Source organism: Homo sapiens, chromosome 15 (assembly GCF_000001405.40).
Source record: "Homo sapiens chromosome 15, GRCh38.p14 Primary Assembly".
Lineage (NCBI taxonomy): Eukaryota > Metazoa > Chordata > Mammalia > Primates > Hominidae > Homo > Homo sapiens.
In genome coordinates, this window is record NC_000015.10 from 30,621,710 (window position 1) to 30,649,473 (window position 27,764).

The 27,764-nt window shown below is 38.3% G+C and overlaps 1 protein-coding gene, 1 long non-coding RNA gene and 1 pseudogene across 10 annotated transcripts in view, besides 5 other annotated features; 2 read left to right on the forward strand and 1 right to left on the reverse strand.

Moving 5' to 3' along the window:
* ARHGAP11B-DT (ARHGAP11B divergent transcript) overlaps positions 1-4,069 on the reverse strand; it is a 34,584-nt gene extending 30,515 nt beyond the window's left edge. For 3 of the 7 annotated variants that reach the window (NR_157595.1, NR_157594.1, NR_157597.1), the window contains exon 1: positions 3,558-4,069. This is a non-coding gene — a long non-coding RNA (ARHGAP11B divergent transcript). Of the gene's footprint in view, positions 1-3,219 lie in introns of all 7 variants that reach the window. The other 4 variants (NR_157596.1, NR_157599.1, NR_157598.1 and 1 more) reach the window with 2 other exon arrangements.
* Positions 1-7,024: part of a non allelic homologous recombination region, noted in NCBI's record as "15q13 proximal microdeletion recombination region, recombines with the 15q13 distal microdeletion recombination region", that runs on past the window's edge. NCBI's record gives the evidence for it as "EXISTENCE:DNA microarray evidence [ECO:0005524][PMID:25326701]" and "EXISTENCE:nucleotide sequencing assay evidence [ECO:0000219][PMID:25326701]".
* Positions 3,326-4,319: an enhancer, noted in NCBI's record as "NANOG-H3K27ac-H3K4me1 hESC enhancer chr15:30917238-30918231 (GRCh37/hg19 assembly coordinates)". NCBI's record gives its function as "activates a minimal SCP1, AML or CMV promoter by ChIP-STARR-seq in primed H9 embryonic stem cells {active_cell/tissue: H9 hESC(primed)}" and the evidence as "EXISTENCE:reporter gene assay evidence [ECO:0000049][PMID:30033119]".
* Positions 3,326-4,478: a biological region, named in NCBI's record as "NANOG-H3K27ac-H3K4me1 hESC enhancer GRCh37_chr15:30917238-30918231".
* Positions 4,227-4,478: an enhancer, noted in NCBI's record as "nonconserved acetylation island sequence 49". NCBI's record gives its function as "activates a minimal heat-shock promoter by reporter assays in Jurkat T cells {active_cell/tissue: Jurkat}" and the evidence as "EXISTENCE:reporter gene assay evidence [ECO:0000049][PMID:17135569]".
* Positions 4,419-27,520, forward strand: ARHGAP11B (Rho GTPase activating protein 11B). Of its 2 annotated transcripts, NR_148423.2 has the most exons (11): positions 4,419-5,240; positions 8,994-9,064; positions 11,781-11,877; positions 12,461-12,714; positions 13,371-13,479; positions 13,778-13,924; positions 17,037-17,111; positions 22,930-22,993; positions 24,405-24,586; positions 25,959-26,005; positions 26,595-27,520. NR_148423.2 is itself a non-coding variant. In NM_001039841.3 (7 exons), exons 1-6 carry the CDS (start codon positions 5,112-5,114, stop codon positions 13,919-13,921), a joined length of 804 nt encoding a protein of 267 aa, NP_001034930.1. In that variant the 5' UTR covers positions 4,419-5,111; the 3' UTR covers positions 13,922-13,924; positions 17,037-17,101. The 2 variants fall into 2 exon arrangements, 1 of the variants encoding a protein (NP_001034930.1); NM_001039841.3 differs by lacking the exons at positions 22,930-22,993; positions 24,405-24,586; positions 25,959-26,005; positions 26,595-27,520 and having other exon boundaries at positions 17,037-17,101.
* Positions 4,970-5,145: a silencer, noted in NCBI's record as "fragment chr15:30918882-30919057 (GRCh37/hg19 assembly coordinates)". NCBI's record gives its function as "represses an EF-1alpha promoter that drives an FKBP-Casp9 reporter gene in an ReSE screen in K562 erythroleukemia cells {active_cell/tissue: K562}" and the evidence as "EXISTENCE:reporter gene assay evidence [ECO:0000049][PMID:32094911]".
* Positions 24,406-27,764, forward strand: part of LOC100288637 (OTU deubiquitinase 7A pseudogene) — a 126,895-nt pseudogene continuing 123,536 nt past the window's right edge. The window contains exons 1-2 of the transcript NR_038253.1: positions 24,406-24,586; positions 25,959-26,005. The product of NR_038253.1 is annotated as an OTU deubiquitinase 7A pseudogene, transcript variant 1 (transcript). The remainder of the gene's footprint in view (positions 24,587-25,958; positions 26,006-27,764) is intronic.

Genomic DNA, 27,764 nt, shown 5'->3' on the forward strand with positions numbered 1-27,764 from the left:
AATAAAATTACAATATCTACAGCTGGATAGCTGTGTGGGGTAACACATAAAATTGGATCCATTCTTTCTACACTGGATAAATTCCAAATTTAAGGACCGGGCGCGGTGCCTCACGCCTGTAATTCCAGCACTTTGGGAGGCAGAGGCAGGCAGATCACCTAAGGTCAGGAGTTCAAGACCAGCCTGGCCAATATGGTGAAACCTCGTCTCTACTAAAAACACAAAAATTAGCCAGGTGTGGTGGCATGCACCTGTAGTCTCAGCTACTCAGGAGGCTGAGACAGGAGAATCATCTGAACCCGGGAGGTGAAGGTTGCAGTGAGCAGAGGTCGCATCACTGCACTCCAGCCTCAGAGATCTAACATTAACAAATGAAAACATAGCAGTACTAGAAAATTAAGTACTAGAATTCACAAGAGTGAATACCTTTATAACTCAGAAGTGGGGAAAATACTCCTATCTATAATCAGAATCCAGAAGCATTAAGGGAAGAGATTAACTATAATTTAAACAAACAAAAAAGCAAGGCAAAAAGTCTAAAAAATATATGCAGCTTATATCATGAGGGACTAATATATAAAAAGCTTCTAAAATATTTTTAAAGACCATCCTGAAAGTAAAAGATGGACAATTTAAATAAAAAGAAGTACAAATAGCCCTTAAACAGGTGAAAAGATTGATTTATTGCACTTTGTTTTCCATTTTAGGAGTTGCTTTTACATTTTATTTTATTTTATTTATTATTATTTTGTTTAGATGGAGTCTCACTGTGTCACCCAGGCTGAAGTGCAGTGGCCGGATCTTGGCTCACTGCAACCTCCGCCTCCCAGGTTCAAGCGATTCTCCTGTCTCAGCCTCCCAAGTAGCTGGGATTACAGGCATGCATCACCACGCATGGCTAATCTTTGTATTTTTAGTAGAGACGGGGTTTCACCACGTTGGCCAGGCTGGTCTCGAACTCCTGACCTCAGGTGATCCGCTCACCTCGGCCTCCCAATGTGCTGGGATTACAGGCGTGAGCCACCACCTTATTTTGGCCTTATTTTGTATTTTAAACATGTTACACATTTACAGGGTTCCAAGTTTATATATAAAACAAGATATATTCAGAGAGGTCTAGCTTCCATTCCTATTTTCTACTTCACCTGTTCTTGATCTTCTCCTATTGTTTACCATTTTTATTAGATTTTGGTTTACCTTTCTATTGTTTATTTTTGAAAATATAAGTAAGTATCCATTTGTATATGTATCTCTACCACCCCGTATACCAAAGGCAGCATACTATATACACTCTTTTATGCATTGCTTTTTCACTTCACTTCACATCATAGTCATATATCTTCCACATTCCTTAACAGCTTCATAATACTTTGTCGTATGCATGCATCATTTGAAAAAATGTTCCACTTCATTGACAAAAAGATAAATACAAAACTATACTGAAGGCTGGGCGCAGTCGCTCATGCCTGTAAACTCAGCACTTTGCGAGGCCGAGGTGAGTGGATAGGTTGAGGTCAGGAGTTCGAGACCAGCCTGGCCAACATGGCGAAACCCTGTCTCTACTAAAATTACAAAAATTAGCCAGGCGTGGTGGTGATTGCCTGTGGTCCCAGCTACTCAGGAGGTTGAGGCAGGAGAATCACTTGAACCTGGGAGGCAGAAGTTGCAGTGAGCCAAGATAGAGCCACTGAACTCCAGCCTGGGCAACAGAGTGAGACTCCGTCTCAAAAAAAAAAAAAACTACACTTTGATAACATTTCCCACATATCGATTTAGCAAACATCTAGGAGTTTGACAATTCATTCTATTGGAGAGGCTGCAGAGAAACAGGAAATGCTGCTGGTGTGAATACAAAACTGCACAACCCCTATGAAGGGGAATTTGGCAGAATTAAACAAAATAACATGTTCTTTTACCCTTTGACCTAACAATCCCATTTATAGAAATCTATGCTAAAGACCCACTGGCAAAAGCATATTATATATGCACAAGGAAACTTTTGTATAGCAAAAGACTGGGAATAGTCCACATATCCACTAGTAAGGGCCTGGCTAAATAAACTACAGTACATCCATATATAACCAAAAAGAATAATTATGCCCAGTTCATTTAAAACACAGTATCTTGATTTTACATCCTTAGTTGGATACAATTTTAGAAAAAAGGAAGTACATGCAAAGTTAAACTTCATTTATCTGTTAGCAATATCTCTATTGTTATTCTGTTTTTATTCTTTATCCTGTTATTGCTATTGTTGTTTTTACATACCTGTGAATATAGGTAGATGAAGCAAATAACCATTATGTTACTATTAATATTTATTAATAGTAACATTAATAATAATTAAGGCAATGAAAAGAACCAATATTTTCATTGCCTCCTTGTGTGTAGGAAAAAAGAACCAATATTTTCATCTTAAGAGAAAGGAAGGGCCGGATGTGGTGGCTCACACCTGTAATCCCAGCACTTTGGGAGGCCGAGGCGGGTGGATCACGAGGTCAGGAGTTCAGGACCAGCCTGGCCAAAATGGTGAAACACCGTCTCTACTAAACATACAAAAATTAGCCGGGCCTGCTGGCAGACGCCTGTAATCCCAGCTGCTTGGGAGGCTGAGGCAGAGAACTGCTTGAACGTGGGAGGTGGAGTTTGCAGTGAGCCGAAATTGTGCAACTGCACTCCAGCCTGGGCGACAGAGCGAGACTCCGTCACAAAAAAAAAAAAAAAAAAAAAAAAAAAAGAGAAAGGAGACGAAAAACAAAAAGAGCTCAGCTTTAAAAAAGGATTATGACGTAGAAAAAGACACAACACTGAAGATTGTCATGGGTCTTTAAGAAAAGGAAATTTGAGACGGCTAAAACGCAGAACAGTGTGGAGTTTGGGGAAGAGATGTGGCTAAAGACAGCGTAAGCAATTTTTTAAAGTTATGTCTGAAGCAAGAAGAAAAGACAAGGAATAGGTTCAGTTTCATCTCTGATACACTGTTTCTTGTTAAAATTGATGTTTTTTTCTGCAGGCATTTGCTTCCTGAATGATGGTCCCACTCAGCCATCCACCTATACTTTCTACAAAGTCAATTTATACTGATTCTTCAGATCAGTTAATCACTGGTACGTTTCCCCTCCCCGGTCAAGGATCTTTTATTATACGCTATCATAGAATCATATTCCTTTCCTTAGCGCACTTCTCTCAACTGATAAGTGCCGCCATTAATGTACTTACTTGATAAATATATGCCTGCCTTTCCTCTTCCAGGGCCGAAACTGTGCCTGGTTTTGCTCATCATTCTACAGTATATAGCACGAGTTCAATAAACAGTTGTTAAAGCAACATATTTAACTTACATTTTGTTCCCATCTCTTCACTCAGAGACTTTTCTTTGGATTGGGAAGGGTAAAATATCCGAAGATTTGAACTCCAAAAGAAACAAAATGATTCTATGCAAACGTTTCCTACTTAAAACTCATTCATTGGGCAAATATTCACTTAGTCCCTGGCACTATTTGGTAATAGGAATACAGGAGTGCATATGGCAGATAAAGTTCTGTTGCTGCCCTTACCAAGTTTCGTGGGGGTGAGATGTGGTGTTAGTAAATGCATACTATTTTGTCTGTATTTAAATCGAGTCCAAATCTCTCGCTCTACAGCCCGCCTTGGGATGTTTCTTATATCCCAAGAAACAGAATATTTTGATGGGATCGCTGATGTTTCAGACTGCAAAAGCAGCTCAGGGCGTTTGCAGTCGTGCAAGTCAACAAGATAACCGTCTGGACCGGAAGCTGGGCTCCTCCCGGTCTCCTAACTCCAAATCCAACACCAAGCTTCTGCAGCTGCCACCTCCCGTAGACTTCGCATTTCTTCCGCACTCTCCTCTCACGACGGGTCTTCTTTGTTGTACTTAATTTCCTACGCAATAAGATTTCAGCATCACCATCAGTCCCCCAAAGACTAATTCCCACAGAGCCGAAGTTCCCACCAAAGGCCGAGGGTTAAGGTTACTAAAATCAGCGTTTCTGAATCCTGTCTCAAGTTGTCTCAACTGGGCTTCCGTAGAACGGTTTCTTCGTAAGAGGGCCTTCAGCGACAGCCGAGCTCGGAAAAGAACGGGAATAAGTTGTCTCTTACATTTCCTCAAATACTGTGAATGGTCTGAGGCGCAGGTCAGGTGTATTTAAAAACCTTTAAACAGTATTCCCCCGCCCCAAAAACTGGCCTTGAAGGAACAAGTGAAACTCATCCTGCTTTTCATGTTTGCTGGGTTTGCCCGTTACACCCCTTCGCCCGCACCTATCTAGACAGGCAGCTCTCGGCCACCCTCCGGGGTCCTGATTTTGAAAAGAGGAGTGGACCAATCAGATGTGGAGCGCTGTTTGGCGCTGCCATTTGAGCCTGGGCTGAAACTGCGGGTGTGACCCCCCCGTGGTGGCTCCGGGTGTCTGCAGTGGAGCTGGGGGCGGAAGCATGAGGCTAACGGCTTGGCTTCAGTGAACGCACCGGGATGTGCAGGCCGGGAGGTAGAGGCAGGCTGATGGGGGAGGGAACGAGCAGCCTGTGAGACGGGGTGACGGCGGCTACCAGCCCGGGCGGGCACCGGGACTGGAAGAGTTGCCTGAGCAGCCGGCTGGTCCGGCGGCCAGGCTAGGGCGGGGGCGAGCGCCCAGTTGAGCCTGCTGGGGCTGGAGGAGCGAGAAGGGTTCTCTTCACATTTCAGAGCGAACCAGACGGACAGTAAGGTTTGGAGGAAGGGGGATCGTTGGAAGTAGCAGGAAGTGGAGAGAATCTGGCAATAGGCGAGAAACCGAAAGAATCAGAAAGAAGTCTATGTGAGTAGCTGAAAGCATTGGGTGACCAGAAAGAAGGTCGCTGTAAGTGAAGGAAGAGTGAGGTGTGGCTGGATCAAAGGGCTAAGAGAAGCGGGTCTGTGTAAGTGGATGTGAGTGAGGATCAAGGAAAAGCCGTGGAAGTGGCCGGGGGTCGGGGCCGCAGAAGTGCCAGACGGGGCCGGAAAGCAGCCGAGCGGAGTTCAAATTTGAGAGCGTTTGGAAATTGGAAGACTTGGTGGCGAACGAGGGTCAGGACCTGCATCCTGCCTCAGAGTTATCGACGTATCCGGAATGTGGGATCAGAGGCTGGTGAAGTTGGCCCTGTTGCAGCATCTGCGGGCCTTCTATGGTATTAAGGTGAAGGGTGTCCGTGGGCAGTGCGATCGCAGGAGACATGAAACAGCAGCCACGGAAATAGGGGTAAGTTCTGTGAAAAGGGATTTAGGTTTAAAAGAAAGGGCACACCCTTTATCATCACTTATTAGCAGATCGTGCTAAAATGTTCACTCTGTGTATCAAAAAGAATGGTTAGGTGTGTAATTCAGTTCAGATGATCGATTGCTGATATTTAAAAAGTGACATTCTTGTTTTTTTTTTCCCCAAGGATTTTTGATCATTGAGAGAAAGTTGCAGGATTTTCCAACTTCAGCACTATTGACATTTTGGATTAGATAATTTTTGTTAGGGGAAGACGAAATGCTGTTCTGTGAATTGTGGGATGTTTAGCGGGATGTCTGTCTTTTACCCACTAGATGCTGGTAGCATCTCTCAGTTGTGACGATTAAAAATGTCTCCGGATATTGCCAGCTTACTGTATTTGGAACAGGTAGTACGTTGGGAGGGACAAAAACTCTACCCCTCCACCCTTGTTTTAGAGTAAGGTTGTAGAGGGACAAGGGAGACCAGTGCATTTTCTACATGAATCTGTAGATGAAGTATGACAGAACATTAGAAATAGGCTTCAAATGATGACTGCATATTCACTAATTTGGGAAACAGATTTGCTGCTTGGCCATATCATACTTTTGGGACAGCAATTTTTTTTTTTGTATGAGTAAATTGAGAAGCCAGAGTGGAATAATTGAGAAGTTGTTGATGTTTTGGTGGTTGAAATAAAGGGATTTTGAATGAGATTTTAATAGCTCTGCCACATAATCAGGAATTGCATTGTGAAAAATAAGCTGAATGTAAAGCATTTTATTTTAAATTTATGTGCCTAATTTATATGGTACTTCCTAGTACTTGGAGACAAGCTAATAAAGTTAATATACGTTGCTTTTAATAGTTTATGGTTTCTAAAAAAAAGTGCTTGGAGAAGAAAACCACTAACAAAAGTAATATGTGTGTCTCTTAATCGCTGATAAACTTTGGAGAAGTTATTTTTGTTGGTAGCAAATTAATGGCAATACATGTACTTACATTTAAAAAGCTACAGTGATTTTTTTCTGATTGTAAAACTGGCTTTCCAAGATCTCAAATGTAGCTGATTTTGTAAGTATATGGAAGAGTTTGTATATGGACTTTTTTTCACCCCTTTTCTTTTCTTTTCCTTTTTTTTTTTTTGTTTTTGAGATGGAGTCTCCCTCTGTCGCCCAGGCTGGAGTGCAGTGGCGCGATCTTGGCTCACTGCAAGCTCCGCCTCCCGGGTTCACGCCATTCTCCTGCCTCAGCTTCCCGAGTAGCTGGAACTACAGGCGTCCGCCACCACACCTGGCTAATTTTTTGTATTTTTTAGTAGAGACGGGGTTTCACTGTGTTAGCCAGGATGGTCTCGATCTCCTGCCCTCGTGATCCGCCCGCCTCGGCCTCCCAAAGTGGTGGGATTGCAGGCGTGAGCCACTGCACCTGTCCTTTTCACCCCTTAACAAGAAAAACTGTTGCCTGTTTTCAGAGTCGGATAGACCTGAGTTTGAGTGCTGTTCCACCCCTACTACATCTGTAAACTTGGGCTGCTTGTTTGATTTCCCTAAGCTTCAGTTTTATATCTATAAAGTGGGAACGTATTTCTCCTTGGATTATTTAGGGATTTTTAAAAAGTGAAGCTCTTTATGTAGGCCTAGCACAGTGCGTGTCACATGCCACTTCATCTAATGATAGTTGTCATATCATTGGTCTGCCTCCTAATTGGTAATCACGCCATATAAATTCAGCTAGAAACACTTATAAGAATATTCTAATGAAGAAATGTAGAAGATCATTGTGTTATGAGATCTAATGGGATAGTTTGTTTGAAAACAATTTCTTTAGCCGACTGGTGTTTGTTAGCTAACTGTAGTTTTAAGTTTTAAAAACATTTTATGAGATTAAATTTTAGTGGTTACTTGTGAAGCCAGTTATTCTAAATAATAAGACTTAAGGAAAAAAACACGCTGAATTCTAGTTATATATAACAGAAGTAGACTTACCAGCCTAAGTATCTGGTTTATTTTTACATTTGGTTTGGCTGCACAGTATCAAGAAAATTCTGATTTACCCAATAAAGGGGTTGCCCATACTAACATTTTTTTAAATAGTTCAGCTTAAAATGATGATCATAAGATTAACAAATATTTTTTGAATGCTTACTGTGTGTCAGACACTGATACAAGTGTTTTGTATGTTTTAATTTATTTAATTCTTCCTACACCTCTATGACTTAGGATCTGTGTGAGGATACCGAGGAACAGAATGTTAATTTGATCCAGGTCACTCAGCTGTTAAGTACAAGAGTTAAGATGTAAAACCTGGCATTTTTGTGGGTGCGATGGCTCACGCCTGTAATCCCAGCATTTTGGGAGGCCGAGGAGGGTGGATCACGAGGTCAGGAGATCGAGACCATCCTAGCTAACACGGTGAACCCCCCCCGCCCCACGTCTCTATTAAAAATACAAAAAAATTAGCTGGGCGTGGTGGCGGGCGCCTGTAGTCCCAGCTACTCGGGAAGCTGAGGCAGGAGAATGGGTGAACCCGGGAGGCGGAGCTTGCAGTGAGCCGAGATTGTGCCACTGCACTCCAGCCTGGGCCACAAAGTGAGACTCCGTCTCAAAAAAAATACACCTGTCATTTTTGCCTTCAGGAGCCTACTCTCTTAAGCCCTTACCATACTATACTGTCTTTTCAGCTTACAATATTTGTAAATTAATTGGAGCCAGGTGCTTGAAAGGGAATTAGTAAAATTTTGTTACTGTGTTGCGTCATTGACAATGCTGAGTGATTTTTATTGTAAAGTTAAATATAATGCTCATAAAACATAAATGCTTCTTGGTTGATAACTTGTGACATCAAAAAAAGTACTTCAGCATTCACAGAGCAGATGCATGTAAACTAAATTAACATGTGAGATTATGCATACCCACTTAAGTTTGAATAACCAGACATTTACAGGCTTGAATTTGCCTTTCAGTGCTGTGGAAAGCGACACATTTTTAAGAGGTTCGAATGCACGCACAAAGATAGTGGCAGATTCTTTATTCTTCAGTGTGCAAAAACATTCAAGTTAACCAACAAACAACTTTACTCTTGGGATCTTCAGTGTATTAAAATTTGAATGTGAGGTTTTAAAAATGGGTTTCCAGCTAGTTAAATGAAGTTTGACTTAAATATTTGCACACTCCTGCCTTGCTTACCGCAGGGCATGGTTTGAAAAGCACTCTTCTATAGAAGGTGGAAAATGTATTAGGTATAAAAATAACCTCTTCTGATGTAATTTTAGGAAGACTCAATGAATGACAGGAATTAGTGTTTTGCTTTTCAATTGACTTAGTCTTTTGTGTAAGTATTTATAAGGTGACCAAAAGAAAGTATCTAGTAAGTATTTATAAGATCATTAAAGCAACCTATAGTGTTTTGGGGTAAATGTTAGTGTTTTGGACCAAATTCTGTTTTAAGAATTTACTGACTAACCACTAACCAAATTGACTTTATGATCAGATTGGAAACTTGAGTTTACTAGATTATTTGAGGGGAATGACATTATCTTGGCCATCTTTGTACTCCCAGCACTCAGCATACTATCTAATATAGTAATTATTTGTTATCAAATGCACTTGAAATGATTATTTTTGTCTTGATTGATAGTTTATCATTTATTTCTGATTTTTTTTAATTTCCTGAGTTCTTTAATTTGCCTAAAGTTTAAGAAAACTGATATTATGCCTAATATTTGTGTTAGAGTAACTGAATTTGTCATTTTAGGGTAAAATATTTGGAGTACCTTTTAATGCACTGCCCCATTCTGCTGTACCAGAATATGGACACATTCCAAGGTAAGCAGAGTTTGAAATGAAGAAGGCCGGGTGCAGTGGCATATGCCTGTAACCCCAGCATTTTGAGAGGCCGAGGTGGGCAGATCACTTGAGTCCGGGAGCTTAAGACCAGCCTGGGCAACATGGTGAGACCTTGTCGCAAAAGATAGAAAAATTAGCTTGGCGGAGCACACTTGTAGTCCCAGCTACTCAGGGGGCTGGGGTGGGAGGATTGCTTGAGCCCAGGAGGTGGAGGCTGCAGTGAGCCTTCTAGCCAGGGAAATGAAGAAGAAGAGAGTAAGCATTTCAAACTGGTTTTAGAGAGTTTAAAAGAAATAGTTGATTAAAACATAATTGTTTCAAACCAGCAAATGATTTAATCTCTCATAATGTTAAAAATATTTTTTTAACTTTTACATATTTTAAATTTATAATTTGTACTCATTCCCAGGATTGAATTTTAAAGTCCAGTAATGAGTAAATGTTAGAAATCACAAAAAATTTTTGTTCTGTTAAGTCAGTTTTCAGTTCTATGTGAATTCTTTTGCCACAACTCAGATTAAGTAATATACTGAATTACCAATTCAGTAATAATTTTGCCTTTTTTTTGTTTGTTAAAAAAATATTGGCCAGGCACAGTAGCTCATGCCTATAATCCCAGCATTTTGAGGGCCGAGGCAGGAGGATCGCTTGAGCTCAGGATTTTGAGACCAGTCTGGGCAACAAAGCAAGACTCCATGTATAAAAAAAATTTTAAAGAAAAATCAGCTGGGCAAGGTGGTGTACACCCCTGTAGTCCCAGCTACTCCTGAAGCTGAGGCAGATGATTGTTTGACCCTAGGAGTTTGAGGCTGCAGTGAGCTATGCTCATTGCCACTGCACTCCAGCATTGGCAACAGAGTGAGACCCTGTCTCTTGAAAACAAATATTGGATAAAAGAATATTTAAGCTAAGATATTAGAGTGTTTGTGAAAATGTATTATGTATCACTTAGCTTTTCTATGCCACTTACTATTTATAAATAACCTTTTGTTCTTTTTTTTTTTTTTTTGAGACAGAGTTTCGCTCTTGTCGCCCAGGCTGGAGTGCAATGGCGTGATCTCGGCTCACCGCAACCTTCACCTCCTGGGTTCAAGTGATTCTCCTGCCTCAGCCTCCCGAGTAGCTGGGATTACAGGTGTCCACCACCACACTTAGCTAATTTTTGTATTTTAGTAGAGATGGGGTTTCACCATGTTGGCCAGGCTGGTCTCAAACTCCTGACCTCAGGTGATCTACCTGCTTCAGCCTCCCAAAGTGCTAGGATTACAGGCGTGAGCCACTGTGCTGGCCTATTCTAACTGCATCAGAAATTACTAGGAAAGTTTATGTTTTAAGAATATAATTTAGCCGGGCGCGGGGGCTCACGCCTGTAATCCCAGCACTTAGGGAGGCCCAGGTGGTGGATTGCTTGAGCCCAGGAGTTCAAGACAAGCCTGGGCAACATGGTGAAACCTTGTCTCTACAAAAAATAGAAAAATTAGCTGGGCGTAGTGATGTGTGCCTATAGTCCCAGCTAGTCGGGAGGCTGAGGTGGGAGGATCACTTGCGCCCAGGAGGCAAAGGTTGCAGTGAGCAGTGATCGCACCACTCCAGCCTGGGTGACAGAGCGAGACACTGTCTCAAAAACTAAAAGAAAAAAAAAAAGCAGATTTTCGGCGTCTGGAATTGCAAAGTCATATTCCCAGGAATCATGACTAAATCTTCATTGCAATTTCATGACCTACTTTTTATTTAATTAAAAAGACTGTTTTGTCAGTTACCTTCTGTAAATAAGGCTGACATTCAGCCACTGTGCACCAATACAGCTGTATCAATTGTTGGTAGCCGATATTCATTCTAATTTGTGGGTCCCAGCTGTTCAATATCTAGGTATCTAAAGCCAACATTGAGATTTATTTGAACATTGTTCAAAATAAAGAAATTGAGCACATTCCCCTTAATATGAAAAGGCTTGTAAGGACTGGGATATATCCTACTTTTCTGAGGGATAATGTTGGGGTGAGGAAAAAAAACCTCGCCCTGTTTTTGGGTGATGTAGGAGATGAGAAAATCACCCATGAAGAGATAGTAGATAAAAGAAGGTGGCCTTGGACGGAGCCCTGGGTTGTTCCAGCATGTAGAGGTTTCACATAAGAGGAGTGAGAAAAGGAATTTGAGAAGGAGCAGGCAGGGAGATAGCAGGAAAACTAAAAGAGTAGTGAAAAAGTATTTTTGAGATGAACAGGGAAGGGATCAGGTGTGTCAAATGGTGATAGATCGAGCAATACGAGGACAACACACTGACCATGGATTTGGCAAGGCAGAGGCTGTTAGTGAGCTTGAAGAGAGCTATTTCTTTGGAGTAATGAGGTATGAGAATGATTGGATAGGGGTGAGTAGAGACTGAGATATGAAGAAGTAGAGGCAGAAAAAAAAGACAAGTCTTACGCTCTGAAGGGAAGCAGAAATGAAGTAGGATTGAGAAAGATAAAATTTAGTGTGCATATTGGAGTTGTTATAAGTAAAAAGATGGGCCTTGGAGAAGAATTTGGAAAGCAAGTAGACAACTAAAAGTAACATTTCATCTCAAAGACTACAGAGATTTGTGGCTTTAGAGCCTCTGAAAGGTCTGTAGTGCTTGGCCTGCTCATGTATGTTAGCAGAGGAATAGGATGTGATATGTATGTCTAGCCACCTGAAAAAATCTCTCTTTCAGCTTTCTTGTCGATGCTTGCACATCTTTAGAAGAACATATTCATACCGAAGGGCTTTTTCGGAAATCAGGATCTGTGATTCGCCTAAAAGCACTAAAGGTGAGCATATTGTTGAACTATAATTTTTCATTTGAGCCATTTTCTGATTTGGTTTTTAAAACTGAAATATTTAGAACTATTAATATGAATAGTTGACAGAAATTGAATTTGCATTTTTTTCATGGCAGAAGATTTTTTTTTTTCCAAAAGAAATGGTATATTATTTCTATCGTGCTTTAAAAATTTAATAGGGTACTTTTAAATTCATGGTCCTTATTTCTATCAAGTATTATGTAAAATGAAAAAATGTGTTAAGTTATATTGTTGTTAGCCTTCTAGAAGGAGTGATATAGCTGAGTGTGGTGGCACATGCTTGTAGTCCCAGCTACTTGGGAGGCTAAGGCAGGAAGATTGCTTGAGCCTGGGAGTTTGAAGCCAGCCCAGGCCACATAGTCTGTGCCACATTTCTATAAAAATAAAAATAAATTCAAAAATCATTAAAAATAAAGTAGTGACATATATTAAAATAAGAGTTAAGAGAAATTTATTAAAGAAAAGTGTAATTAGAGTATAACAAAAGATTCTTTATTTGCAATAAACTCTTAAGTTGCCAAAATACTCAAGATTATTATATTTATTTCAGAATAAAGTGGATCATGGTGAAGGTTGCCTATCTTCTGCACCTCCTTGTGATATTGCGGGACTTCTTAAGCAGTTTTTTAGGGAACTGCCAGAGCCCATTCTCCCAGCTGATTTGCATGAAGCACTTTTGAAAGCTCAACAGTTAGGCACAGAGGAAAAGAATAAAGCTATACTGTTGCTCTCCTGTCTTCTGGCTGACCACACAGTTCATGTATTAAGATACTTCTTTAACTTTCTCAGGAATGTTTCTCTTAGGTAAGTGGTAATTAAAACTCTTGGCAAATAATAGTTGAATTTTTCAACTAACGTTTTATGCTTGTAGATATGTACAATTTCATTTGGAATGGAAATTTTTCTTTAAAAATTCCATATTTCATTACTATGAGGAGTATACTCTAATTTAAGAAACAGCATACCAAATGATTTAATATTTCCTTATCTTAAAGTCATCATCATGAATGCCTTAATGGTTCATCATTGGTGTTTATAAGATTCATTGTCCACTGAAAGCCTTTGTTTACTGGGTTTTTAAAATATTTCTGTTTTGCTTTTCAAAATTTCCCTCTCCCTGCTGTCAGTGAGCCTGCTTATTCTAGACATACTTGCTGCCTTCTGATACTTCCAACTTTTTATGTGTAGGTCTGAAAATCAGATAAAGATGTTCAATTTGTGTGGAAAAGCAAAGTATGAACTCTAAGATTAGCATGGTTTTTAGAATACATATTTAAATATAGAGAGGCTATATATTTCTGGTTCTTTCTTGTGTTCAAGCCAATCATGTAGATGAAGGGTAACTATTTTGACTTGTGTATGACTGATAATAAAGTCTTCAAAATGTACTACATACGTTATTTTAACTCTTCTGTATTTTCACGTTTGGCTCCATCTAATAAAGCGTTTATTCACTTAAGATCCAGTGAGAATAAGATGGATAGCAGCAATCTTGCAGTAATATTTGCACCAAATCTTCTTCAGACAAGTGAAGGACATGAAAAGATGTCTTCTAACGCAGAAAAGAAGGTACGATTACAGGCTGCAGTAGTACAGACTCTTATCGATTATGCATCAGATATTGGTAAGATGTAGTTGCATTATTAACAGAATTTGTTTAAATGAGGAAAATCTCTGTTTCTTTCAAAGGAACTATGAAGGCAACTGTTAGAAAGTTGGTATATTACTGACCTCACCCCCACCCTACAGTACCGGCCCCTCCTGCAAAGAAAAAAAGAAAAGAAATTGGTATATTAGTATCTAAACATTTTTGGGGAAGAGTGGAGGAAGGATAATAATTGTCTTACTTGTGAACATTTTCATTTAGGGCGTGTACCAGACTTTATCCTGGAAAAGATACCAGCCATGTTGGGTATTGATGGTCTCTGTGCTACTCCATCACTGGAAGGCTTTGAAGAAGGTGAATATGAAACTCCTGGTGAATATAAGAGAAAGAGAAGACAACGTGTAGGAGGTAAGTGGTGGTCCCATTTTATGGAGGTACAGTGATTTGCTTTAATCGAAAGTACATTTCACATAAAGAAGCATGAACTGTGGTATGTGCCTTTTTGGTGCTTAAAGCACAGCTGGAAAGATAGGACGTATGCGTGTAAAAAGTTAAAGCGATAGTACAATCTAATGTTAAGTGCTACATCTTTAGCACAAACATAAAATGTGTTAAAAGGAGAAAAGCTCCCTGGATTGTAATTATCAGGGACTTGTCAAAGAGGAGCCAAACTGAACCTTCTTGAATAATGGATAGAATTTAGTGGGATTGGGTGGAGGATCAGAATACTTGTATCCTATTCTAGATGAGAAGGATGCTATGAAGAAAGGTTTGTGTAGGGAAGAAGTAACCTATGTCTAATGTAGATAGCGCAGTATGACTTGAGTGAAGTGTTCAGCATAAGGATAAAGGATGGTATTATGGTAAACTTAATGCCAGGCTAAAGAATTAGAATATTAACCTGGGTGTTGGTGAATCATTGAAGATTTATGATGTGAGGCATGATATGATTTAAAAATTTTAGAAAATTACCTGATTTGAAGAATTGAGACTTGGAAGTAGGGAGAATGGTCAGCAATGTGTGTCAGTAGTCCAGGCATGAGATTATTGTTTGAACTTGTTAGTGACATGGATTAGTTAGTTAGGAGTACGAACTAAATAATGAAGGAAATATTATCAAGGAAGAATCAGAAAGACCAAAAGACCATCATAAGATGGTAGAGTTGGTAATAAAACTTGCAATCTCCTTGATCAAGAAATCAGAGGCCATTATTCTTCCAATTACTTTAGGAAATTTATTATCTTTTGAATATCAGAACCAAATGTTACTAACTATCCCAATCCCTTTTTCATCTTTTGGTTTATTTGTTATTGCATACTTGTGTTTCTTCTTTACCTCCTTTGTAGATAGGATAATACTGATGACTTATGTATGATTTTCCTAGGGCTACTGTAGCAAAGTACTACAAACTAGGTGGCTTAAACCAACAGAAATTTGTCTCACCGTTCTGGAGGCCAGAAGTCTGAAATCAAGGTGTTGGCAGAATGCCTGAAACCTGCAGGGGAGAATCCTTTCTTGCCTCTTCCTGGCTCCTGGTAGTGGCTGTCAGTCCTTAGCATTCCTTGGCTTGCAGCCGCGTCACTCCAATCCCTGCCTATGTCATCCCATGGTGTTGCTCTGTGTCAGAACTTCCCTCTTACAGGGCACATTGGATTAGGGCCCACCCAAATGACCTCATTTTAACTCGAGTACATCTGTAAAGACACGAATTCCAAGTATGGTCACCTTCATAGGAACTGGGGGTTAGGACTTAAACATAGGTTTTTTGGAGAACACAATGCAACCCATAAAACTTCCTATCCCAAATGGAGATATTTCTCAGATGCAGATCATCTTTATTGCCCTCTTTCCCAGTCCTGTAGTTTCAGTTATCACCAGTCCTGTAGTTTCAGTTATCACATCTAAATAGATAACCACCACATCTGTACCACCGTTATCTTGAAAATGTCAGTTCCACTTTACTAATGGCTTGCTAGGGAGACCTCATCACATCTGCTTTTCATTGGTGCTTTAAGCTTAACGTTTTGAAATGACCATCTTTATCCTCTTTATCCTGGTTCTGTGTGAATTCCATTTTCTTCTAACAGCACCACTATTCCCTAGATAACTCAGGCTTTAACCATGGGTTCTACCTCTTCCTCTACCATCTATAATCAGACAGTTTTTGTGTCATATAAGATTCTATCTCCATAGTGTTTATTGCATTGTTACTGTAAGAATCTTCTTGGCCGGGTGCGATGGCTTACGCCTGTAATTCCAGCACTCTGGGAGACCAAGGTGGGCGGATCATGAGGTCAGGAGATCGAGACCATCCTGGCTAACACAGTGAAACCCCGTCTCTACTAAGAATATAAAAAATTAGCTGGGCGTGGTGGCGGGCGCCTGTAGTCCCAGCTACTTGGGAGGCTGAGGCAGGAGAATGGTGTGAACCTGGGAGGCGGAGGTTGTCGTTGGCTGAGATCGGGCCACTGCACTCCAGCCTGGGCAACATAGCGAGACTCCGTCTCAAAAATAAAAATTAAAAAAAGAATCTTCTTGGTCTTTATGCCTCCTCCTTGAATCTACCCTACATATTGCTATTAAGGCTCACTTTTTTTTTTTTTTTTTTTTTGAGACGGAGTCTGTCTTTGTCACCCAGGCTGGGGTATAGTGATGCTATCTTGGTTCACTGCAATCTCCACCTCCTGGGTTCAAGCGATTCTCTTGCCTCAGTCTCCCAAGTAGCTGGGATTACAGGTGCACGCTACCATGCCTGGCTAATTTTTGTATATGTAGTAGAAAGGGGGTTTCACTGTGTTGGCCAGGCTGGTCTCTAACTCCGGACATCAAGTAATCTGCTTGCCTTGGCCTCCCAAAATGCTAGGATTACAGGTGTGAGCCACTGGCACCTGGCCAAGGCTTACATTTTAAATGTATAACTCTACTCAAGTATCTCACACACATACCCTTCAGAAATTTTAATTGGTAATAGGGATATTTATAGCTTGGCATTAAAGGTCTTTCATAGGATTGCTCTAGCAATCTGTCTACCTGTCTACTATTTCCTGTCTTTGAGCAACTTTAGTCAAACGGTGTTATTTATTTTCCAGACACTTTTATTCATTTGCTTACATTATTTATTGATATAATGTTTTTACTTCCATCTCTACTGATCTTTTAAATACTTTTATTCGTGCCTCCATTTCCATGGTTCTTGCCTCAGTTCAGACCTTCATCTTTTGCCTTAACATGTAATGATTTCTTTTTCCCTACCCTTACTGTACATTATATGTATTTGTATTACATTTCTTTCTGTATTATGTCTTTTTTATTTTAGGGATATGGAAGTATAAGTGGGGAATGGAATAAAAATATATCCTTTAGTATTTTTCCTATTTTGAAATAATTCCTCTTAAATAACTTAAAATTTATAAGCCGATGTAAAGTTACATGTTGAAAGAAGACCGCAAATATTAATATGAATTATTGGTGAAAGACAAGTAAATGTGAAGTTGTAATTGCTTATGTCTTGCATTTCAGATTTTGTTAGTGGAGCACTAAATAAATTTAAACCTAACAGAACACCTTCTATTACACCTCAACAAGAAAGAATTGGTAGGTATTTATTATATGCATTTATTTAAATTAAAATTTGTATAGTATTCTATAAAATACAATTACAATAATAATTGCCTAACTTAGTAATCAAATTTAGTTTAATCAAATCAAATATTATTTTTAATAGTCATACTGTACTATACACACTATGTTGTGACATTGCTAATTACATAGGCTATAATGAACCCAAAATTGTAGGCAAAAATTTTTTTAGTTTCCTATGTCTTTAATCTTCTTAATCATGCTTTTCTGTTTGTAATTTAGATGCTATTGAACGTGTGAAAATAGTTCAACCTCATTTTTATCTTAGGACTAGAAGTTCATTATTGTATATTTCAATTTTTTATCCTAATTTGCTTGTGGCTGAAATTATTCAGCCAGTAAGAGTCAACATGATCTTCTGTTTTCTAGAGTGAAGAAATGAACTGGTTAATACTCACTTATGATGAAAAGCAAAAATAATATTTAGATTAGTTTTTGTTTCAACTCCTTGATTGTAATTTCTTCCTTACATTAATATTCTTTAATGTATATCATATGCATCTTTTAGTCTGTTAGATTTAAGTAACTGCTGTCTCTTAAGAGTCTTGCCTCTGCGACTTCCTTATTTTCATTTAAGTAATTGCAGAGTGTTTTAGTTAAACAACATCTACTTAACTGATGATGTAAATATATTCTCATTTTTTGTTTAGCTCTAAGTAATAGCTTTATAAGAAGAAATTATGTAAAGCTTTTATATGTTGTCAACTCTGCAGTAGAAGCAAGAAGTTGGTTTTGTTTTGATATTTTTTCAGCCCAGCTATCTGAATCACCAGTGATTCTTACACCAAATGCTAAGTGTAAATTGCCATGCCAGTAGATTCTTCTCATGGTTTCTCAAGTAAGAAAAGGAAGTCCATCAAGCACAATTTTAACTTTGAGCTGTTGCCAAGTAATCTCTTCAATAGCAGTTCTATACCAGTATCAGGTAGCAAATAGAATTTATATAAATGGATTGTAAAGATTAAAATGAGTGCCTATTCTGGGCACAGTGCAATTTCATATTAATAATACCACCCTTAGGAACTAGAACTTTATTCTGTTTTATCCAACCTATGAATTTTTATAAAACCCCCTGCCTTTTAAAATAGACAGTGTTTCAATATAGAGTGTGTGTGTGTGTGTGTGTGTGTGTGTGTGTGTGTGTGTGTTATGACAACATCTATTGAAAGTTGTGATAACCCAGAGTAGTAGTTTGGGCTTCTGGTGATAGCATTGATGCTTAGGTTTTATGTGATTAGACATCCTGAATCCTGCTATAGTTACATCTGGGTCTATAGCTGTGGCTTTATTGCTGTCATTTGTTGAATTGAGGTTGCCAGATGTTTGATCATGTCTGATTCCCAAGTGGGAGCGTTACTATTGCAGGTTATGGTTTGAAAATGAGGGTATTTTTAAAGTTTTAGACTCAAGTACCTTTTGTAAAAGCTTTAGAACTTTGTTGACGCTGTTCCTTGTGCCATGGCTTCCAGATCCCTTACCAGCCCAGCCATTTTCTTCCATATTAACTACAAGTTCTAATGTGGCCAACCAGAGCCTTCAGAGAGTAATAGAGTATGATCATGCTAATCCGGAGATTAGTCTGGGTCTTAGATTCAATTGGCTCTTTTAGCATATACAGAATTCAAGTTGGCTCATATTAACCTTACGATCAACCAAAAATGAAATGAAACTCTAAGCCCAGGGTCCTCCATCTCATTTATCTTACATTTAGTCAAAATGTGAGTGATCTCTGATTATTTTAGATTTTTATTTTGTTGGTTTCAGACAATGTTAAGTTTCATTTTTGATTCATTATCTGAGTTATATGAGTTCCTTCCCAAAGCCTGTCTCTTTTTTCTGTTGTCCAAAAGGGTTCTTATTTGTTTTATTGAGAAGTTGAACAGAATAGCAACTTGAGGTTTTCCAGAAAAAACACTTCCTCACAGGTTCTCTAGGGCTCATTGAAATGTGATGATAGTAACTCTGAAGCTTATGTCTGTAGCTTTTGCAGTGTTCACAGGTTGGAGACTTAAACTTTTTTAAGTAACATAGTTCAGTTTTTTTTTTTTTGAATATTTAAAAGCCTTTGCAGTTTGGAGGACTTTTTCCAAATGGCAAATGGGAGTTGTAGTTCTACCTGCCTTTGCTTATTAGCATTACATTTTCCCCAAGGAATGAACATACTGATTCCTTCTTCTCCTCCTCCAAGCTCCCAAAACAGAGGTTAAACAGTCTTGTTCTATTTTTAGTTTGAGCTTGCCTAATCAATGAATTTTTTAATAAAAAAATTTAAAAGTTCAACAATAATAATCGTATTATTTTTACACCACTTTTCTTTGACCCTACTTTCTCAGCCACAATTCAACAAATTCCATTTGCAAAATTGAAAATAGATTGATTTCTAAGTTTAGATTATAAAAAATATGATGCTTTTAAAAATATATAAAGACAACATTAGTCTGTAGTCCATAGAGTATCTATTCATAATTGTCTCTTTTTTTTTTTTTTGAGACAGAGTTTTGCTCTTGTTGCCCAGGCTAGAGTGCAATGGCACAATCTCGGCTCACTGCAGCCACCACCTCTCAGGTTCAAGCGATTTTCCTGCCTCAGCCTCCCAGGTAGCTGGGATTATAGGTGGCCACCACCACACCTGGCTAATTTTCTTTTGCATTTTTAGTAGAGACGGGGTTTCACCACGTTGGCCAGGCTGGTCTTGAACTCCTGACATCAGCTGATCAACCTGCCTTGGTCTTCCAAAGTGCTGGGATTACAGGTATGAGCCACCATGCCTGGCCATAATTTTCTTACAGATGTGATAAATTTGCATTGTTCCATATATTCTGACTGTGCCTTCTGCGACCATTGACGCATTTTTTTATTTTTATTTTTTGAGACGGAGTCTCGCTCTGTCTCCCAGGCTGGAGTACAGTGGCATGATCTTGGCTCACTACAACATCCACCTCCGATGTTCAAGTGATTCTTGTGCCTCAGCCTCCTGAGTAGTTGGGATTACAGGCATGCACCACCACACCCAGCTAATTTTTGTATTTTTAGTAGAGATGGGATTTCACCATGTTGGCCAGGCTCGTTTGAACTCCTGGCCTCAAGCAATCTGCCCTCCTCAGCCTCCCAAAATACTGGGATTACAGACGTGAGCCACGGTGCCTGGCTGGACACATTTTTAAAGTGACTAGACTGCAGCCCTAGAATAAAGCTACTTATGACACTTTAGATGTATAATATTGGCTTCCAAAATTTTCTTTAGCTAAATGCACCCAAAAGTTTCTAAGGTGGTTGTATTTTTTTCCGTTTTCATAATTGAAAAAATGTGAATGTCTCTGGGAAACTTTGTGAATTCTTTATTAATAACTCAGATGAATTGAGAGGGTTCATGTTTGTTGAATGTGTCCTGGGTGTGATTCAAACATAAATGTATATGGAGCCTTTGTTCATAACTATTTTACTTCTTTTGTAATTGTTTACTATAGTTGATTTCATAATATAAATGGTGTTAAATAATTGAGCTTCTGTTGTACCAGTAATTATTTGCATGGAACACAGCAGCAGCCAAGGGATTAGGAATGTGTTATAGAATAATTAGTTTTTGTTTACTTGCCAAAAATATTGAACAAATTACATTCAGGAGTCAGGTGGGTAGCAGTTGGCCAGCAGGTATATCTCAAATACTCAGATTCCAACTTGTTTGCCAATAGCTTATTTTTTATAATACCATTAATTAGTATTATGTACTAGATACTGACTAAATATTTTATATAGATAACAGTAATATTCATCATAGAAGTCCGTTTTCAGAGCCTAAAGCCATTTAGTAAGTGATGGAGCAAACTCAAGCCTGTCTCCAAATCTTGTTCTTTTTCCAGTCTGCAATGGTGCCTATCCCTGCCTTGTATTATTAAAAGAGTTTAAAGAAAAGCTCTAATATAAAAGTAATGCTTAAGCTGACCTTTAATTGGCAAGTCAAAAGTAAGAAATGAATGCTTTTTCTTAGCTGAGTTGGGTTATTTGACACTTGAAGTTTCTAACCAGAAATTAAGTGATTTCGGTTGTTGCTTGGGATAGAAATTAAGGCTTTGAATCTAATTGCTGCTATTGGAGGGCAGTAGAATGTGGTAGTTGGAGTTGCATGATACTTGATTCATATGTCTGTGTAATGATGGTGTGCAGTACCCTGATTGCTCCTTTTACATTCTTTCTGTAAAAGGAAAAATAAAACATGAGAATAGTGCTGTTAACTAAACTATCAAATTTATTTGAATTTTACCAGTTGCCTCTAATATTCTTTTTGTTTTCTTCCAGGATGCCACATTACAGTTTGTTGTTATGCCCCCTTAGTCTCATATAATCTGTCCTAGTCTTTCATGGTTTTGTCAGAATTTCTCAGACTTTTCTTGCCTTTCATGACCTTGACAGTTTTCTTTTTTTTTTTTTTTTGAGATGAAGTCTCACTCTGTCACCCAGGTTGGAATGTAGTGGTGTGATCTCAGCTCACTGCAACCTCTGCCGACCGGGTTCAAGCTATTCTCCTGCCTCAGCCTCCTGAGTAGCTAGGATTACAGGGGCCTGCCACTGCGCCTGGCTAAGTTTTGTAGTTTTAGTAGAGACGGGATTTTATCATGTTGGCCAGGCTGGTCTTGAACTCCTGACCTCATGATCCGCCTGCCTAGGCCTGCCAAAGTGCTGGGCGTACAGGCGTGAGCCACGGCACCTGGCCTTTGTATGTTTTTGTAATACATGTTATAAAACGTATGACTCAAGTCCTTGACACTTTGAAGAGTAACTGGTTGGGTGTTTTGAAGAATGTCCCTTAATTTAGGTTTGTCTAAGGGTTTCTCATGATTAGAATGAGATTATGAATTTGGATTATGAGATTAGAATGGGAATATGCATTTTAGTAAGAATACTGCAGTAAATACAGTAATGCTGGTTACTTAATTAGTAAAGGTTTTAAGAAATATTACATATAGAAGTTTTGCAGAAGTTAGGTATAGAAATGATGGTTGAATTTTTAATTAAAAGTCTCAAGATGCAGTATCTGGCTGTCCGAAGCTCATGGATCCAACTACATGGTTTCTTCACATTTCTCAAATTGTGCACTTTCCAATTCATGCTATTATGGCTTCCTTGAATGGAGTCTTCTCTGATATAACCATAAAGTTCCAGCCATCCTTCAAGACCTCAACCCACCTTATACCTCTTCTGTAAACCCAGTGCCAACTATATCAAGTAAAGTGCTTGCTGTATTCTCTAAACTACTATTTACAAAAAAAAAAAATTCTTTCTGTCCAGGGTTTTGTCTGTAGTTATGTCCTGCCTCTTTTGAATTGTGAAATATTTTGTTGTTTATCAAATGTTTGTCTCATCTTCCCAACCAGAATGTCAGCTCTCTGAAAATAGGATTGTGTCTTTTATATTTTTGTATCCCCCTTAGCACTTGGCATAGAGCCTTACCTTGGCACGGTACCCAATAGATATTTGTTGAATGACTGAATTTCTAATTAGAGGTAAATTATCTAAAGAGTAAGCCAAGATAGGGGTGAATTTTTTCTTTGAAGCTTTATTTTATTACAGATATCAATTGAAATGATTTTTTAAAATAAATTATCTATATTTGTATGTTTTAATCTGAAAAGGCATCGTTCTTATTGTTTTTGGTAACAAATTTTACACATTCTTTTTTTGTCCTCATTGATTTATTATCTGATATAAGGGACATATAAGGAGACATATCAATCTCAAAAATTGTCTCAAAAGGTTTTATTTTTTTTAACCACAGATAATGAAACAACCACCATCGGTTAAATTTGATCCAAAAATATTGCATCTACCAGCATTTTCAGGTAGGATCATAAAGGACTTATCGAACATGTAGACTGTCTGTATACAGATACGAATATGAAATTTATTCACAAATGGAATATTTGTATGTGAATAACTAAATTTATTTTGTCTTGACAATTGGTTATATTCTTGGGTCAGTGTTATGTGAATTGTAAGTAATCTGTAATTCATTTGTGCCAGCTGTTGACATGAGTCTGGGCTGCCCTGTCCTCTTGTGTGTGGGGAGGTTCCTGTAGATCTGGGCAAGTTTTCCTGTAGAGTGGGTGGGGGGCCTCCTCCCTTCCGTTCATAGAGCTGGTTGAATTTCCACCATTTATGGCAGGTGTAGGTGCACAGGGTTGGGGACAACAAGGAAGGATTGGGATTCTATTGGCGGGACCAGGACATTTGAGAACGGGACTAGGTGGTTCATGACTGTGGAGATGGTGTGGGAGTGGAGATACTTAAGGGATAATTATTACATTTCTGTTGAGCTAATGAAAATCTTATTTAGGGTGAAAGTCAGAAATTTTTACATACCTTAAACTTTTTTTTTTAACAAATTATATTTTAAGCTGTTAAACTCAATTTGGGGAAAATTATTCATTGTGGCTAGATTAGAATCTATGATTTGAAATAAATTTAAAATATATTTAGGTTTAAATAAACTAGCTAAGGGTTTGTATCAGTCAACCTAATTACCGATAAAAACAACCAAAAAAACCTGTGAAGGATGTTTTTGAAAGACCAAAGTGAAGCAAAATATTAATAGTGCTTTCAGTGCCAAGTAGGTCTATTTATGCAAACCTAGAGAATTATTACCTGGAAATACTATTTATTTTTTCTTCTTTGGTTTATTTAGGAAATTATATTTACAATTTCTTTTGTCTAAAGATTGAGATCAGCCAAAAATATGTTAATTTTAGGGGGTATCACATTTCCTAGATTTTGCCCTTTTTTTGTATAGGGATTTGGAGCTAAAATTTCAGGTGATTTTAGCTATCATGTTATCCTCGTTATTTTTTTACAGTGATTTTATTGGAACTTTTTAATAACTGGGATTTGTGCTTTTCTCAATATTTGAGAGTTGATTTATTTATACAAAGGCTCTTTTGTCTTTTACTTCAGTCGTATTCAACTTTACATTTTGTTATAGTCTAGGTTGTGGGACAATTCTGCTTTAGACATCTGCTTTATTTGAAAGCATAGTTTTCCATTGAAGTGGTTAAAAAGTTTCCATGTGTAGATAAAGAGATGGGAAATATAGAAGGACAAATAGAAGTAGTGTCATCTTTGGAGTATTTTTGATTTTGACAGTGTAATGTTTTCTTTATCCTCATCTTAGTTGTCGTAATTCTGTGTTTCTCATGTAATGTTTCCAGCAGTTGTTTTTCTCATCATCATACTTCTGTTATTTTCTTTCCTTGGCAGTGGATAAGTTATAATTTCTGAAAGACCAAGATTGGAATGACTTTTTGTAACAAGTGTGCTCGCAGATCGACTCCAGTGAGAAGAGCTCGGGGACCTCCTGAGCCAAGTTTAATCTCCTTTGCTATTTGTGCATGGTGGCTGGTCACCAGGAGGTGGCCACCAGGCTTCTCCTTTCCCCGCTGGTAGGCCTCTGTGACATGACTTATGCATTTAAATGTATGTTTTTATAGAGGCTCAAACAAGTGCTAAAATAGCAATTTGATTTAACTACCATGAAAAAACTGATTTATCATGATTTTAGGTTTATGCAAATTATCGTCTGCTTAATCCTTAGGTCTTAAAGTAGATGAGAGTAGATGGTGATTTTGAACTTTCTGTTGTTGTTGTTTGTAATACTTAGATTTCCATTTTATGTTAACTTGTAAGATTTTAAAAAAATATATAGGCTGAGGCAGGAAAATGGCGTGAACCCCAGGGGCGCGGAGCCTGCAGTGAGCTGAGATTGTGCCACTGCACTCCAGCCTGGGCGACAGCGAGACTCCGTCTCAAAAAAAAAAAAAAATATGTGAAATTAGCCCAGGCGCAGTGGCTCATGCCTGTAATCCCAGCACTTTGGGAGGCTGAGGCGGGTGGATCACCTGAGGTCAGCAGTTTGAAACCAGCCTGGCCAACGTGGTGAAACCCCATCTCTACTAAAAATACAAAATTAGCCGGGCGTGGTGGTGCACTCGTGTAATCCTAGCTACTGGCGAGGCTGAGGCAGGAGAATCACTTGAACCTGGGAGCCAGAGGTTGCAGTGAGCCGAGATTGCGGCATTGCACTCCAGCCTGGGCAAAAAGAGCGAAACTCCATCTCAAAACAAAACAAAACAAAACGTGATATCATAAGACCTTTTCCCTTCTCATCAGTGACTGGAATGAACTGCCCATGTGGAATGGGTTGTGGGTGTTGGTTCCTTTACTGGGTCATCTGGTAAACTGCAAGGTTTCTGCTGTGACATTGAAGGCAGACATCAACCCCCTAAGACATTTTTTTCCTATCCTCTGGGAATATTACGTTTTGGACAATCTTGGTCCATTGGTAAGCTTATGGGAATTTGTCAGCGTTTTTTTGTTTTTTGTTTCTTTGGGCTCATGTTTAGCATCGATTGGCAGAGTTTTTGGAGTCATCCTCAGAAAGGAATTACGGTGGTTCAGAGGTGTTTTCTGTAGTGGGCCCTCATTTGGGAATTGGCTTGAAAAAATTTAAGTTCATTTGCTCCCAGGATAGTATTAAGGTTACTTTTTTCGATAGTTGGTGTGTGTCTATCAGGTAAGGGCAGTCATTTAGAGAATATAAAGTGGTAGGAGAAACTAAAAGTACTGTTCTTAGTTTCTATTTTAATCTTATTCATATACAAGTGCCTTTGTAATTTAGTAAATATCATTTTTGGTATACAGCATAAATTTCCTTTTTATAAAGATCTGAGTTTTTAACTTTGCTGTCACTTTCTGTGTTGTGTGAGTTAAATATTTTAATTTTTTCTTTTTTTATATTTAAATTTTTTATTCTAGTTCTAATTGCTAATCCAGTATTTGCGGATAGCTCCAAACTGGGATATGTAAGTAACATTTATATTTTAAAAATTATTTTTCATGACTTTATTAAGTAGTTATAGCATACATACTTATCAAAAGCACAGTCCTAAATAATTATCATAAATTTTTCTGACATAATGATGACTCTACTCATAGGCAATTTTTATGGGCATTCCAATTATAAATTTTAGAATATTTAAAAATAACCCTTCTCCTAATATACAATTCTGGGATTATCTAAGCTACTCCTGGAAACTTTATTAACTGTTCTTGTTTTTTTATTTTCATAGAGACAAGGTCTCTCTCTATGTTGCCCAGGCTGGTTTCCAACTCCTGGGCTCAAGTGATTCTCCCATCTCTGACTCCCAAAGTGTTAGGATTACAGGAGTGAGCCACTGCGCCAGGCTAACTGTTACTGTTTTGAGTATTGGTTATAAAATACTTCAACCCTGATCCCTGTGTATTAATTTAGTTATACTTCCTCAAAGTTTCCCTTGGCCACCCTTATCTGTCCCTCATGTAGCACGTAGCTTCCCTATGATTTTATTTATAAGCTAATGAGATTATGATTTATAAACTCCCAATGGAAGGAAGTGTCCTTACTTTTTATAGGAGCAGCATACCAGGTGGAAAGCACCGTAGATCAAGTGTTAGAAGGCTCTGGGTTCCTGTTGCCTGTAAGACTTGGCCAAATGATTATCTTTTTCTCATTCTCTGTTTCCTGGGGAGGGTGAGTGGAACAAGGAAATGACATAGGTTTAGGATTCAGACAGACCTGGGTGTGGATCAAAGATCTGTGTTCTGGGCCAATTACTTTAATTGCTGAGTCGAAGTTTCCTCATCTGTAAAATTTCGATGGAGATGAGATAACTACTTCATAGATTTTTGTAATTATTCCACTGTGAATGAGGTAAATATGTGATACCTTGTATAGTGCCTGATTCTTAGTGGGTATTTCACTTACAATGGGGTTGGGGTTGTAGAAGTTGCAGTTATTATCATGAAGCTTGCTTATCTCATGACTGTTAGGAAAAGCACATGAAAAAACGGAGGTGAAAGGATTTTGTGAATTGTGGCAGTGGTATAATAATTATTCTTCGATGCTGGTAAAATATGGGTGAAACAATAGGAGTTTAGAAAATGCTTAATAATAAGGGTAATTCTTATTATACATCTTGTAATGTTACTCTCCCAAAGTAAAATCTGGTAATAGAAAGTAGGATTTAATACTTTGAGCATTTAATACTTTGAGAAGGCTTATGGTATGCTCATTAAAAATGAATCAATGAAATATTTATTTAAACACTTTTATTTAAAACATGTTATACCCTTGAATGGCGTGCCCCCTGTTGACATTTTCAAACAGACATTCCAAATCATTTCCAAGTACAGTCATCCCTCTGTATCAGCCCGGAGATTGGTTCTAGTATCCCCTTGGATACCAAAATTCACACATACTATTTTTCCTCTGCTTTTAAGAATTGAAGTTTGATTGTAAAACTGTTTTAATTTGAATAAAATGATACTGAGGTAGACAAGTTCTCTGGTAGGAATCTTCTTTTATTCTCTTTCTCCATTCAAAGCCACTTCTAGTGAGGTTTTCTCTGATCTCAGGTTATATTACCTTGATAGCATATGATAAAGGGTCCTTAACGTAGTCTGTGAGATAACTATTTTTGAAGTAGGCATATTTATTCCTTAGTTTTGTTTTGCATATAAAAAAATTAGAATCACGTGATATAATTTTATAAGTTTGTTTTCCCCTGTAACATATATATTATG